Source organism: Homo sapiens, chromosome 8 (genome assembly GCF_000001405.40).
Source record: "Homo sapiens chromosome 8, GRCh38.p14 Primary Assembly".
Classification (NCBI taxonomy): Eukaryota; Metazoa; Chordata; class Mammalia; order Primates; family Hominidae; genus Homo; species Homo sapiens.
In genome coordinates, this window is record NC_000008.11 from 4,631,634 (window position 1) to 4,645,514 (window position 13,881).

At 38.8% G+C, this 13,881-nt stretch overlaps 1 protein-coding gene across 3 annotated transcripts in view; it reads right to left on the bottom strand.

The window, feature by feature from the left end:
* CSMD1 (CUB and Sushi multiple domains 1) overlaps positions 1-13,881 on the bottom strand; it is a 2,059,554-nt gene that overhangs the window by 1,696,273 nt on the left and 349,400 nt on the right. For all 3 annotated transcript variants that reach the window (XM_011534752.3, NM_033225.6, XM_017013731.2), the window contains exon 2: positions 5,709-5,925. In XM_011534752.3, coding sequence (XP_011533054.1) covers positions 5,709-5,925 — 217 coding nt within the window. The remainder of the gene's footprint in view (positions 1-5,708; positions 5,926-13,881) is intronic.

Below are 13,881 nucleotides of genomic sequence, written 5' to 3' on the forward strand. Positions count from 1 at the left end.
AAAACTGTTTTTAAAAATATTTAATGCATTCAAAAGCATTATTACTGTTTAAGAAAACTGGAAAACCTATTCTATTTTAACAACACTTATTCATGATTTTCTGATTTTAATGGCCCTATCACATTCACCTCTAACCTCTTCATTATCAGCATTGCAGAAAATTAGGGGTAATCTTGTTAAAGTTAGAAAGACCGACGAACTCGAGATAAATGCCAAAGCTATTTCCCTAGGCCTTGTATTTTACAATAATCATGAATTAATATATCCTGATTTTCTATATTGAGTGGTAAAATCTCCCTTCATAGATTCGCCTTTATTCACTTTCTGACTTTCTAAGGAGTTTCTCTTAGACCTTTGATATAATAATTTTATCACAGTTGGAAATAGATGTCAACGTCAATTGTTTCTGATTTGGGACAAGTAAATAAAACTTCAAATTTAGAAAACATGTACCAATTATCAGTCACCACATGGGATGGTTGACTCACATTCATTTAGGAGAGAGTTACATTAAGTCACGTTGGGTTCCGTGCACAGTGGCAGGGATGAGTTGCCCTGAATCAGGAATAATGTAATTCAAAATTGCCCCACGAACACTTATTGACGATGTGAAAGTCAACATATCTTCCAGCACTTTGGGAGGCCGAGGTGGGCAGATCACCTGAGGTCAGGAGTTCTAGACCAGCCTGGCCAACATGGTGAAACCCCGTCTCTACTAAAAATAAAAAAATTAGCCAGGTGTGGTGGTGCACCCTGTAATCCCAGTTACTCAGGAGGCTGAGACAGCAGAATTGCTTAAACCGGAGAGGAGGAGATTGCAGTGAGCCAATATAGTACCATTGCACTCCAGCCTGGGTGACAAGAGCAAAACTCCATCATGGGGGTAGGGGGAGCAGGGAAAAACTCAAGACGTTGGTAATCACAGGAGAAGACACATTCAGGGCACATTTCTTAGCCTCAGAGGATTATGTTCTATTAGACATCTGAATGTACAAAGATATACAAGCCCCGAGCCCCATTGCGAGGTAACTTCAGGGCAGGTGTGAGTTCAAAGGAGTACAGGCTTCCAATTGCAGTAGGTGGCCAGTGTTACAGGAGTTCATGCACACAAAGAAAATGTACGTGGGTTGTTGTTTGGAATGCCTAGGGAAGATTTCCTGAAATAAATATAATGTGCACTGCGTTTTGAAAGACGCATACTATTCAGACCGGTAGAGGGAGAGGCCGGGAATAAGAGGACAACATTCTCTTGTAAGGTCAGGTCAAGGAGTAACCCACAGATCTGTGCAACTGAACAAGGATACTTTTCAGGGGACAAACGGGAGGGACTGAAGGACAGAATGCAGTTTGGAGTCCGATCATGGACTTTCTTGAATTTCAGGGTCATGGGTACTAGAACTGTTTATGTTGCCGGAGATAGAAGCCAGGGCTAGGACAGCAGCAGATGTGTCAGTGTTCCCGAGAGGGGAGCCTGGGGCAGGAAAGGATCGTGCATTGGTCTATGTGAACGCTCAGGACAGCCTGTGCCAGGACAGGAGCCTTCGTAGGAACATTTACTATTAGGATCAAAAACAGGCTGTGGTTAATGGAAAGGTGTTTTTTTATGTGTTCGTTTGTTTCTTTGTTTTTTTTTGATGGAGTTTCAGTCTGTCCCCCAGGCTGGAGTGCAGTGGTGCGATCTCGGCTCACTGAAAGCTCCGCCTCCCCAGTTCACACCAGTCTCCTGCCTCACCCTCCCTAGTAGCTGGGACTACAGGCGCCCACCACCACGCCCAGCTAATTTTTTTTTGTATTTTTAGTAGAGATGGGGTTTCACCGTGTTAGCCAGGATGGTCTCGATCTACTGACCTCGTGATCCAACTGCCTCGGCCTCCCAAAGTGCTGGGATTACAGGTAAGAGCCGCCATGCCAGGCCTACTTCCTTTTTCTTTTGTTTTGTTTGAGATGAAGTCTACCTCTGTCACCCAGGCTGGAGTGCAGTGGCATGATCTGCACTCACTGCAACCTCCATTTCCCAGGTTCAAGTGATTCTCCTGCCTCAGCCTCCCGAGTAGCTGGACTTACAGATGCCTGCCACCATGTCCAGCTAATTTTTTTTGTACTTTTAGTGGAGACGGGGTTTCATCATATTGGCCAAGGATGGTCTCAAACTCCTGACCTCAGGTGATCCACCCGCCTTAGCCTCCCAAATTGCTGGGATTACAGGCATGAGCCACCATGCTTAGCCCAAGACATGTTAAAAAATAAGCATTTTGGGATTTGGTGACTGCATGGTTGGACCTTACTGGAGACTGGGAAGCAAGAGGAAATGCAGAGTCAATAAAGTTCAGCTGTTTAAAACAGCAACCACCTGACAGGTCATTAAAAAAAAAAAAAACAATGAAGAGATGCTTTAATTCTAAATAACACAAAGATCAGATTTTTCATTTTGAATTTTGAGTCCAAATTTCTTCCCTGTGCTTACCAAGAGAGGTCTCATTTCAGCTCTCAATATCCACATCATTAAAATTTAGTTTATTGATGGGTGCCCAAATCATATATGTATTGTTGGTGTGTTTGTACTAAAGAAATAATCCAAGATGATAATATAAAGGATATATTAATTTTTTAACTCTAAATGTTTTTACATATGTAAATAATACTATATTTCTGACTAAAGTTCCAGTTACAAGGTAAGCATCAATAATTCTAAAGTATATATTCTGTTTTGTCAGCTGGGGATTAAATCTGCCTCTTAAGTTTATTTCGAAAAAAAATATTACAGTGGTTATGTGAAAGAAATTTATTGATACTAAAAATGCTCAAGTTGTTTAACAGAAAAACTGTTTTGGTATTTCAGTTAATGCACATTTTAAACTTCTAAAAATAGCTTTTGTGCAACAATAAAACAACAACACACCAAGACAGCTCTAAGCAATAACTTTTGTGACATCTCAGTTATCAGCAGCTCCTACATCAATCCTCCCACAAAAGAATCCGTCCTTTGAATTCTAGAGCTGCCTTAAGGGTTGCTACTTAATTGCGTTTGAGAAATAAACAACTGTTTCAAGGCATAATGGGAAACGAATAGCATTAGAGTGCTCCCTTTCCCGATTAATTAGAATTTGCTACTATTTATAACTACTTTCCCCATCAACTCATCCTGAATGTTGAAAGAGAAAACACCTCCTCATGTGTTTTCCCTGACAACACACCCATTCCAATTTCACATCTCTATTTATTTCACCTTTTGTAATAGTAGAGACCTGTAACACTCAGTAGTCATTGGGCGTTTTTCCGATTTGTATTACAGTACTCTAAACGGTTCCCAAAGAAATCACTCTGCACTCCTCGAACGTCTCCTCAAAATGGCATTCTACGTATGCGGATAGGAGGAAGAAATATAAAATGGAATATCAAGATGAAAGCAACATCCTAACTCTAAGGACAATAAACAAGTAGAAATATGACATATTTTTCTCTATTTCAAACAAAAAATTGTCGGTAACTGAGTGATTCATATGAACCTAAGTAGGCTCTTTCTTATCAACCTCCCTTGCTTCCTGTACTAAACATAACCCAGCAAGTAAAAGAAAAAAACATTCTGTTGTACATACAACTCACAATAAAGCTCTCTGAGGCACAGGTATCAATTTATTTACTGTTCACTCAAACTCCAAAATGAAATATGTTTCTAATTGTTCTAACTTAATATTTCCGCTGTCGATCCTGTTATAATATTGAAGATGGTAAGAATGTTGTTTTATATTTATTAATATAAAATGATCATAATAGTACCATAAGACCATAAGAGATAATACATTATTGAAAGACATACCTGTCAGTCAAATTAAGACAGGTTTTCTATATATGAAAGAACTAGAGTAAATAAAAATATTGAGAGAAAGAAAATGGAAACATTTTTAAGAGAGCATATTTTTAACAAGCATTTTTTAATGGAAAGGTAAAGTCATAATTTTAACGTAGAGTCACACACATTGGCATTTGAATAAAATGGATTGTCTAATTCTTTTTTCTGTAACTCTGCAGTTTTTATTACCATTATAATACACTACTATACCCTAGTAGCGTTGATAATTGACAACAAAAAAAGTAACTGGCTTTTAAAGAGCATAAATTATTTAAGAAAGCCTACATCAAATTAGCAAGTATTGTATATGTAGATACTTTGTTCAAATACTAACACATAAGACCATAAATGTAATAAAAGGACAGAGGAAAGCTTACCTGTTTCAGAAAAGAGACGGCCATTCTACTATGTATGAAAGGTAAACATGCTACTAAAAACAGATAATAGATATTGTAGATGACTCAGAAAAAAAACTAGGTGTTTGAAAGTGGGTGAAAAAATGCAAATAAAATATATTTGAAAATATATTAATGAATATATTTTATATTTAACCTATTAGTTATGTAGCATATATTGACATATTATAAACTAGATGTACACATAAAATTGTGTTTTCTGTAGAGATTTTTTTCTCATCCCATAAAATAATAAATGAAGCATATGATTCTTGTGTGTATTACTGTTGGCATTAACATCAGTAATCTATATAAGTTAATTTTGTTAGGAAAATCTGATTTCTTTGGAAGGGATATTCCTTCTTCCTTTGCCAAATTGAAAACAAAAAGTAGATACAGACGTACAGGTATAATTTTTTCTTGTTGACAATTGAAAAAATATAATTTAAAAATGATACCAGGAAATGTTTTGCTTTCTTCATTGTAAAAACTATAGATCAAAAGAGAAAACAAATTACGAATAGATTGTACCATTATTGTCTAAACCACAAATTCTCCAAAGAATGCAATAGCCCTGAATGTTGTTCCCTCACCCACCTCCTATGTTCCTTTCACTGAATATATTCTCTGACAACATAAGGGTTCATTTTGTTCTGATTAGCTGAATTGTACTCAAGAATTTATCTTTGTTCTTTTTCTCTCAAACTCACAGTTGCTTAAAAACAATGGTGTATTATAATTTTATTTAAATTACCTTGACAACTCTGTTTCACAGATCTTGAACAATATATCTATAAACAAAGTCAGTGATAACTTTCAATAAAAAGTTAAATTTTTAAGTATAGAAAAAGTATGCACAATTTGCCACAAGTTGATAGACTTCAAGTTTTCTGTATAGTAACTGTATTTTTCTTTTCTGGTAATGAGGGGTGAAGCCAGCTGGACTTCTTGCATTGAGTGGGGACTTGGAGAACTTTTCTGTCTTACAAGAGGATTGTAAAATGCACCAATCAGCACTCTGTAAAACACACCAATCAGCGCTCTGTAAAATGCACCAATCAGCGCTCTATAAAACACACCAATCAGCAGGATCGTAAAAGTAGCCAATCACACGGAGGACTGAAAAAAGGGCATTCCTATAGGACAGAAATGGAACATGGGAGGGGACAAATAAGGGCACAAAAGCAGCCCAACGGGTTGGTCTCCCTTGCTGTGCTGTGGAAACTTTATTCGCTCTTAGCAATAAACCTTGCTACCACTAACTCTTTGTTTCCCTGCCATCTTTAAGAGCTGGAAAACTCACCCCAAAGGTCTGTGGCTTCATTCTTGAAGTCAGCGAGGCCACGAACCCACCGGAAGGAACCAACTCCGGACACAATAATAAAATTTAAATATTCCAACTAGATTTCATAATCTGTGTATTCAAACAGTGCTAACTGTAATATAAAAAGTTGATACCTTACCTCACTTTTAAATTCCCTTGTTGAGGCTGTCCATCGTAAACTGATAAAATATCAAAATCTTCTTCAAGAGCAAAGGTATGGAAGGACAACTGTATCCTATTGCGCTCGCCCGTGATGATGATCCAGGTGCAGTTGGCATAGTTCGGATACCCGTGAGGAAACCCTGGGCTCTCAATAGTGCCATTGGGACCCTGGACTAAGCCTCCACAGTTCTGACCTGGAAGAGAAAACACACACAAAAAAGCATATTATTCTGGCCATCTTTAATCTGTGATTTAAAAAATTTCTAAACACTTTAGCCAATTTTTTTTTTTTTTTTTTTTTTTTTTTTTTTTTTTTTGAGACGGAGTCTCGCTCTGTCGCCCAGGCCGGACTGCGGACTGCAGTGGCGCGATCTCAGCTCACTGCAAGCTCCGCTTCCCGGGTTCACGCCATTCTCCTGCCTCAGCCTCCCGAGTAGGTGGGACTACAGGCGCCCGCCACCGCGCCCGGCTAATTTTTTGTATTTTTAGTAGAGACGGGGTTTCACCTTGTTAGCCAGGATGGTCTCGATCTCCTGACCTCATGATCCACCCGCCCCGGCCTCCCAAAGTGCTGGGATTACAGGCGTGAGCCACCGCGCCCGGCCTAGCCAATTTTTACAACATTTTATAATTCTTGCACAAATATTGAAGGATAAATTAAGTGTTCTGCAGTGCTGAAAGATAGAGGACAACAACAAATTAAAAGAAAATATGCAACATTTTGTAACTAATATTAGAAGTTTAGGGAAGTTCTTTATCCTGTCACTTTAAAATACAGCCTCATCAATATCAAATTTCAGTTCATGGGGGAACAAATTTGGTGCTATCTACATAGTATCATGCTTAAAACACTCCACCCTAAATTCTTTGTTGGTGGAAACTAAGTTACAGAAGAATAAACATTATAAAACTATATACATACACACCTAGCCACATAACTGCAATATGTGGTAATAAGAATAGTTAGAAAAAAACAAGGTCAATACGCCAGTGATTGATCGGTGCCTGTGCTGGCAAATGTCTTACTGGGCAGAAGAATAACATATGCATAAAGGAAGCTTATCAAGTTGAAAATAAAAGACATAAAACAAGGTAAGTTAAATGACGCTAAAATGAAAGAGCAGCTCAGCAAAACGAGGACTGTAACAACATCCTCACTATTGATGTCTACCCGTTCACACAGGCAGGACTTAGGAGGTGGAGCAGAAAGGAAGGTGTACCACAAAATGAGGGGACCAAGTAAAGAAAAGGCTCAGAGTTCCAAAGAGCAGTAAGTAAGCAGTAAGTGAATTAGCTTAGTCCCTAAGCAGGACAGCAGGACATCTCACGTTTTACTCAGCCCTCCCTTAAGAACTTCCCTTTGGCAGGTGGAATTGGGATCACCCTGAGGGTTTAGGATTGACATGACAATGGGAAATGATGAGGGCTGAAGGGCAATTGAGTGCCACAAAGCCACCTTGAAGCCACTGAGCAGTGTCTGAGGAACTGATTTCATTCTGCCTCTGCCTCTGAAGATTTTGTGTTATTGATTCTAACAAAGCACTTCTCAGGTGACTCCCAGACTGCTGGAGTAGTTTGAAAGAATAGAACCCTTGAGTAAATTGTAGGCCCCAGGCTTCCTGCAAGAACCAAGCGCTGAAAGAACAGCTCTGGGAGATTAGTAACAGCTGCACACCTGACCCACCTATTCTATTTTTACCACTAGACAAACTGAAATGCCTGCCTTGTCAGCCTCACCGATGCATTTCATTTCCGCTACTCCTGATCTTCATCCACCTACTTTGCAGGGTGATTCCCTACTTGCCTGTTTCAGCCCTTCCCCTTCCCAAGTTACTTCCCACATACAAGCTCTCCGTGCCATGCTAATTTGGTCCCTGTGGTTGTCAATTTTTTTTTTTTTTTTTTGGTCTGTTCAGTTACCTGTAACAGTCTGCCTCTGATGGCCATGCCTGGGCCAATCCAACTGAAGCAAGAGGAGCCAAAGCTGAAAACGGGGCAGACAGATCGTTGGAAGTGTGCTCTCATAAACACACTCTGCTCATGTACCCTGTAAATATTACTATCCTGTAAGGGAATAGGATAACCCACTCAAACCCTTCCAACATTTCGTTTGTCTGAGGTTAGCTGTTAAGTAGCTCGCAAAAACTGTCTATGTTTCTTACCTTCTTAATATGCCCATTTCCCACTAATGTGCTTTAAATGTATTTAAATGTTTTGACACTAAAAATATTGAGAAAGTTTTGAAGGGACCTGGGTGTACTCAGATTGTGGCATGTAGTGTAAGTACTTGAATACAAGTATTATCTCAGCTCTTATTGTTAAAGTACAAATAGAAAATTATTTTCAACTACATTTTATACTTAAAAAGTATTTTACAACAGTAGACCTCAGTGAGCTCAAATCATTCACAGTAATATTATCAAATGCTTGTGGGAGTTGGCAAAATCTTAATAAAAAGATTTAATGAAAGGGATTTATGAGTTTAAAACCAGAGAACTAATAAAAAGCCCATTTTCCACTAAATTTAAGTCCAATAATAACACTGTAACAAGTAAATATTAAAGCTGTGGGGTTTTGAAAGGTTTTTAAAGAAAATAGCTTGTCTGCTTTACGAGTAATTCTTGCTTAACAGTAAATCAAAAAAAGGGAAGACTTGATTATAAATTGGAAAAAAGAAAAATCAGTTCAACAGAAAAACGTCAACTGGAAAGTAGTTACTGTTATAGACCCATCAGGTTGAATCAGATGAACAGATATGAAGATTTCCTCAAGGAATAACATTTAGGCTGCATTCAGGGTACTAATGAGTACAGTGCATGTTGCTGAATGAGTCACATTTGATCCATTCATTGACATTCCATAGCACCGGTTAGAAATTTTGGCAACTGCTCAAAAGTTCTTAGCAGAATGAATATCATCGTTGGCTGTCCAGTGCAAACAACCAAGAAGTTTTTAAAGTATCTATGCCTAAGATAGAATCGGATGTATTTGGTCTGCAACTTAATACTGCATCTTATTATAAAGCCACCGTGATTAAAGCAGTGTTTGATTGGTGTAAGCCTAAATAGCCAGTGGAACAGAATAGAAAGCCATAAAATCCACAAAGATATAGAATCTAGATTTAAAGCTAATATGGTAGTCCTCTTTTCTCTTGGATCTTATACTCTAATGGGCCCTTGCCTACTATAGAGTATGCACAAATATTCTATACATGTTTTCTTTGTAAACGATGTACATCTAAGCTTAATGTAAATGATGTCCTTAAGTACAGCTTCAAACAAGTGGATTATTTTAATTGAATATTCTTAATGGACAACTTTTAAATGCTGCAAACATAACCATATTTCAACATGTTGTTTAACATGAATCCCTTGTAAGTACCTTTGTAATTTGTATTTCTTCAGGGCAATAAAATAATCGGTAGTTTCTGTGATAATTGTAATGTTTTAGTTAAAATTAAGATGTTATTTTACAGGGATTGAAACCTTAATTATTGCTAAAAAAAAAAAAAAAAAAGTCTAATGGTCTTCTTCCTCCATAAACTGACACCGGAAGTCACCCTGAAATAAAATATCAATATCAATGGCAATATCAATGGTAAAAAAGAAGTATATATATATGTATGTGTATATTTTTCCTAGTGATACTGAAGTTTGATTTCAATTTCAATTTCGATTTCAATTTCATATATATATATATGAACACACTCTGTGATGTGTATTTTGGTATGCATGCAATTACACATATACCAAAATACACATCTGTAATTGCATGGATACCAAAATACACATCACAGAGAAACATACATGCAACATTGTGCATACAGATGTTTTTGCTGCTATAATTCAAACAAACTTCCAAGAGAAAACCTGAACACATGCCATAATTTTAGGCAACTGGAATCTAAATCATCTGTTACCGAAATAATAATATACGAAACATCTGGCTCCTATCTAAAGTAATCAGCAGAATGTTAGATATAGAAGAATCAGAGAGTTAGTTTTTTTGCAGATTTCTACTCCTTAGATAAGTCCTTAATACCACAACCTTCCATACACAGAGTTAACTTCAGTCATTTTTAAATTCTGTCTTATACTGTTGGACTGAGGTTCTGTTTTCAAACTACATTTTCACATATACTCTTTGTTGACCGTCTAAGTAGCCACACATCATGATTTTTACAAGGATGGAAGAACAAGTGAAAATGAAGTAAGTTGTCCAAAGTCTTCTGGGAATGAATCAAGGTCTTCTGACACCAAAGCCTAGAGCCGTCCCACCAAACCCAGTTATATCTCCACGAACAAACACAGCAGGCAACCCAGTGCATTACAGACCTCATGTATGGTGATCGAGTCATAACATATATCACAATAAATACCTTAGATCACAAAATAAAATGGTGAGTAAATACAGACATTCGGAAAATCTAGATATGTAGGGACTCTAAATTCTGTCGTTCTTTAAAACTAATCAATGCCCATTGAAGGAAAAAAAAGTGAAAGTATTAAGTAGCAATTGGAAACATAAACATCACTCATAGTCTTATTACCAAAGATAATTATTGCTAACATTTTGCTGAACACTTTTCTAATCTACAGTTAATGTTGCAATACTACCTGGCATGCAAGATGTGAACAATTTGGATTTGGATTAAATACTTGCCAGTCCTGCAGGAACCAGTAAGAACTGACCTACGAAGTGCCTTGCTTTGGAGGTGACCTGGTCAGCCTGTAGGTGCTACTCTCTATCCTGTGAAGGTCCAGGTCTGCAAGATGGGCAAGTGCTCGGCAAGGAGCCTATAGGACTACTTGTTCGGGGCCCCGGTGAGCCATGGAGTTGATGGTTGGTTATACAGCAGTGCCCCTCTTGGAGGCCGGAAAACACATTCCAGTAAAGGCAGGGCTCACTGTGTCCTATGACAATTTTCTACTTTGAAAGCCTGTCTCAGAAACACCCAGCTTAGAAAATGGCCCTGTGCCCTCATCATTTCTGAGATGAACTAACCCCTCCACTCTGAACACCCCCCTACAGTTGGTTGGCTCCTCTCCCGGGCTGTTGCTCTGTAATTCGTGCTGCTGTATAGCAGTGGCACATACTTTTCCTAGAAAGTAGCAGCTGAGATGATTCATCTGTGATCCAAACTGATTCACTGTGAGCATTTGAGGAGTGAAGGTATCATAAACAAACGCCTTCCTAGATTCTACACCTGGATGAAACTGTGCTGTTTCTCTCAGTCCTGGGCTGGGTGGGCATTCTCAGAAAGTAGTAGAGGTGGACATAATATTTAAAAACTGGTGTGCCAAATATGTTCTACTACCTCATTTAATTCGTGCACAGCCTTTGAAGTGGGGTGTGTAGCTTAGCCTTTGCTTTGCTAGCTGTGAAAATAATTACTTGGGTAATGCTTTATGATGAGGGAATGGTTTTGCTATTCAAAACCTCTGTCTGAGAGCAAATGTTTGGACATCAAAGATATTTTGACATGTAATTGGGTTTAGGGACTTAGAAAGATGTGGACTATACTGTTCTGTATGTGGAGACAGCCATGCAGGGAAATGATACTCTGTAGCAAATTCTACAAACGAGGAAACGAGTCATTTGAGAAATGATGGACAGGACTGCAGAGGAACAGTCTGGAGATGAAAAGACTTGGGAATGTATAATTGTCTCCAACTCTGGGGCCTGATATCATTTGAAAGCGTATATAGATTTGTGTGTAAATAGAGTCCAGGCAGAAGCCATATTATCATCTGAACAGTATGTCTCATTGGAGATAAACATCAAAAACAGCCTTTGTGGTTTTTATCCCGTTTGCAAAAAGCCCAGATCACCACACTGGCTCCTTTCTAAAACAACATCATTGGTGGAAAAATAAACCTTACATATTTATTACACTCAGGGGCAGTGTCGATCCTTTTACTACATCTATTTTGTGAAAATGACAATTTATGGTTTTCATGTCTATATAAATTACTGTGTAAACGAGAACTTGATTACTTTCTGACAGGCAGATTTTTGACCTCCAAAGCATCTTTCATTTTTGACATTTTTGTAGTCAATTTCTATTGTATACCTGTTGGCTTTTCTGGAACACTAAACATTGCCTTACTCCTACTGGACGTAGCTATCAAGCAACTCTCAAGTAAAAAACATAAAATAAAGAAAAAATAAAATAATATAAAATAAAATGGTCCATTGCGATTTTCAGTGAATTTTTTTATTTAAGAGCTAAGGAGTACGACAGACTTCTAAGTGGCTCTGGAATTTGAAATAGTGAGAGGCCTCAGATTTCAATGAAGGAAGTGGAAGTTTCCCTGATCAGATAAGCGCTGTTTGAAACGGTAAACAAATCAAATATGCATTAAATTCTGCATTATCTTCTACAGTTTCAGGGGTTATTCCAGGGTCTGCATTATGGGGAAAATAATTAATTGTGGAAGGACCATGATTTAAAGTGCCGTTCCGGGGACTTCGATTAAGGGTTTTCAGAATTAAAGTCTTCAGGCATTTTGCAGGAACACCATGCCCTGTAGGAGGCTTTGAAAGCCTGATGATTCTCAGATCACCTGGAGCTACTGACATCAGCCACTCTGGCTCAGCGCCCTAGGGTACTTGGTTGGGTTTTACTCCCAAACACTTATGGGAGATTACTCACTACATGAGCAAAGAAGAAAAGTAAAAATGCCAGAGGCAGCCTGCCTGAAAGAGAGCCAAGGAATCGATTTCTCACTGTGGAGTCTTTGCCCATGAGCAAGGCCTTGAAGGGAGCTCTTACACTCAAAATGAACCAGGAGTACCCGGTTTGTATCACTCCAAAAGGAAAAGGGAGGTTTTCACTGGTCAGTGTCACTTCTTTCCCTTCCTTGAACACACCACGCTTGTTCCCACCCCAGGCCCTTTGAACATGTGGGTCCAGCTACCCGAAATGAGCTTTGCCCAGATTTTTTCATTGAGGCCTCATGCAGGTCTCACTCAATGCAGTATACTCTTTCCAGACACTCATATCTCAATCAGCAACATTCTTCCAACATTACATGCTACCCTTTGCCCTATTTTTTTTTGAGACAGAGTCTCTCTCTGTCACCAGGCTAGAGTGCAGCGGCGCTATCTTAGCTCACTGCAGCCTCCACCTCCCAGGTTCAAGTGATCCTCCCGCCTCAACCTCCAGAGTAGCTGGGATTACAGGCACGCGCCACCACACCTGACTAATATTTCTATTTTTAGTAGAGACAGGGTTGTTCACCGTGTTGCCCAGGCTGGGCAGGAACCTCTGACCTCAGGTGATGGCCTCGCCTCAGCCTCCCAAAGTACTGGAATTACAGGTGTGAGCCACCATGCCTGGCGCCTACACTATTGTATTCCCTTATAGCATTTATAACTTTGTGAAATATCCTATTTACTTGCTTACGCATTGATGATCTCTTTCTACACTAAAATGTAAACCTTCCAAGAGTGAAGATAATGATTGGCTTGTTTATATGCCCATTTCTAGAATAGTGCCTGCTAGTTGACATTCAATTGTTGAAGCCTGTGGGTGAGTTTGAGTGCATGTGTGGGAGGTAGAGGTGGTCGGACAAATTAAATCTCTGTGCACACTCATAGGGAAGCAGGGAAAGCAGTGGTACTTGAAAGAACTATAAATCTATATTCTGGTTAGTGATTACTTAAAACATTAGGATGCAGGTGATATTTTAATTCCAAAAGCAGAGTTGCTATTCTCTCAACCCTGTTCAGCAGCCTGATTGTCGAAAGCTCCTTAAATACTCCCTGCTTTATGGGAAGCTAATTTTTCTCCTACATGCTGTTCCTATGGACGTTGGCATCTCTGCTTTTTCCTTCTAGACAGGGGTCATCATTCCGGGCAAGACAAGGCTGCCATGAGTCAGAACTGGAACCTCACGGATATGATGTCAATGTTGTTCCCTCTGCTGTTGCCCCCAGGGGAGGCAGCTTTAGTTAACTCCAGCAATGTAATGTTTTCACCTACTGAGAAATTGTTGCATTAATGGTAATAAAGTCATTCAGTGTGTACCCACTCTGAAAAGACAAATTGCCAAGACAGCAGGTGTAGTGCAGGGGCAAAAAAAAAAAAAAAAAAAAAAAGGCAAGCAAAGCACTGGGCTTCGGATCAAACAAATCTAAAATATGAT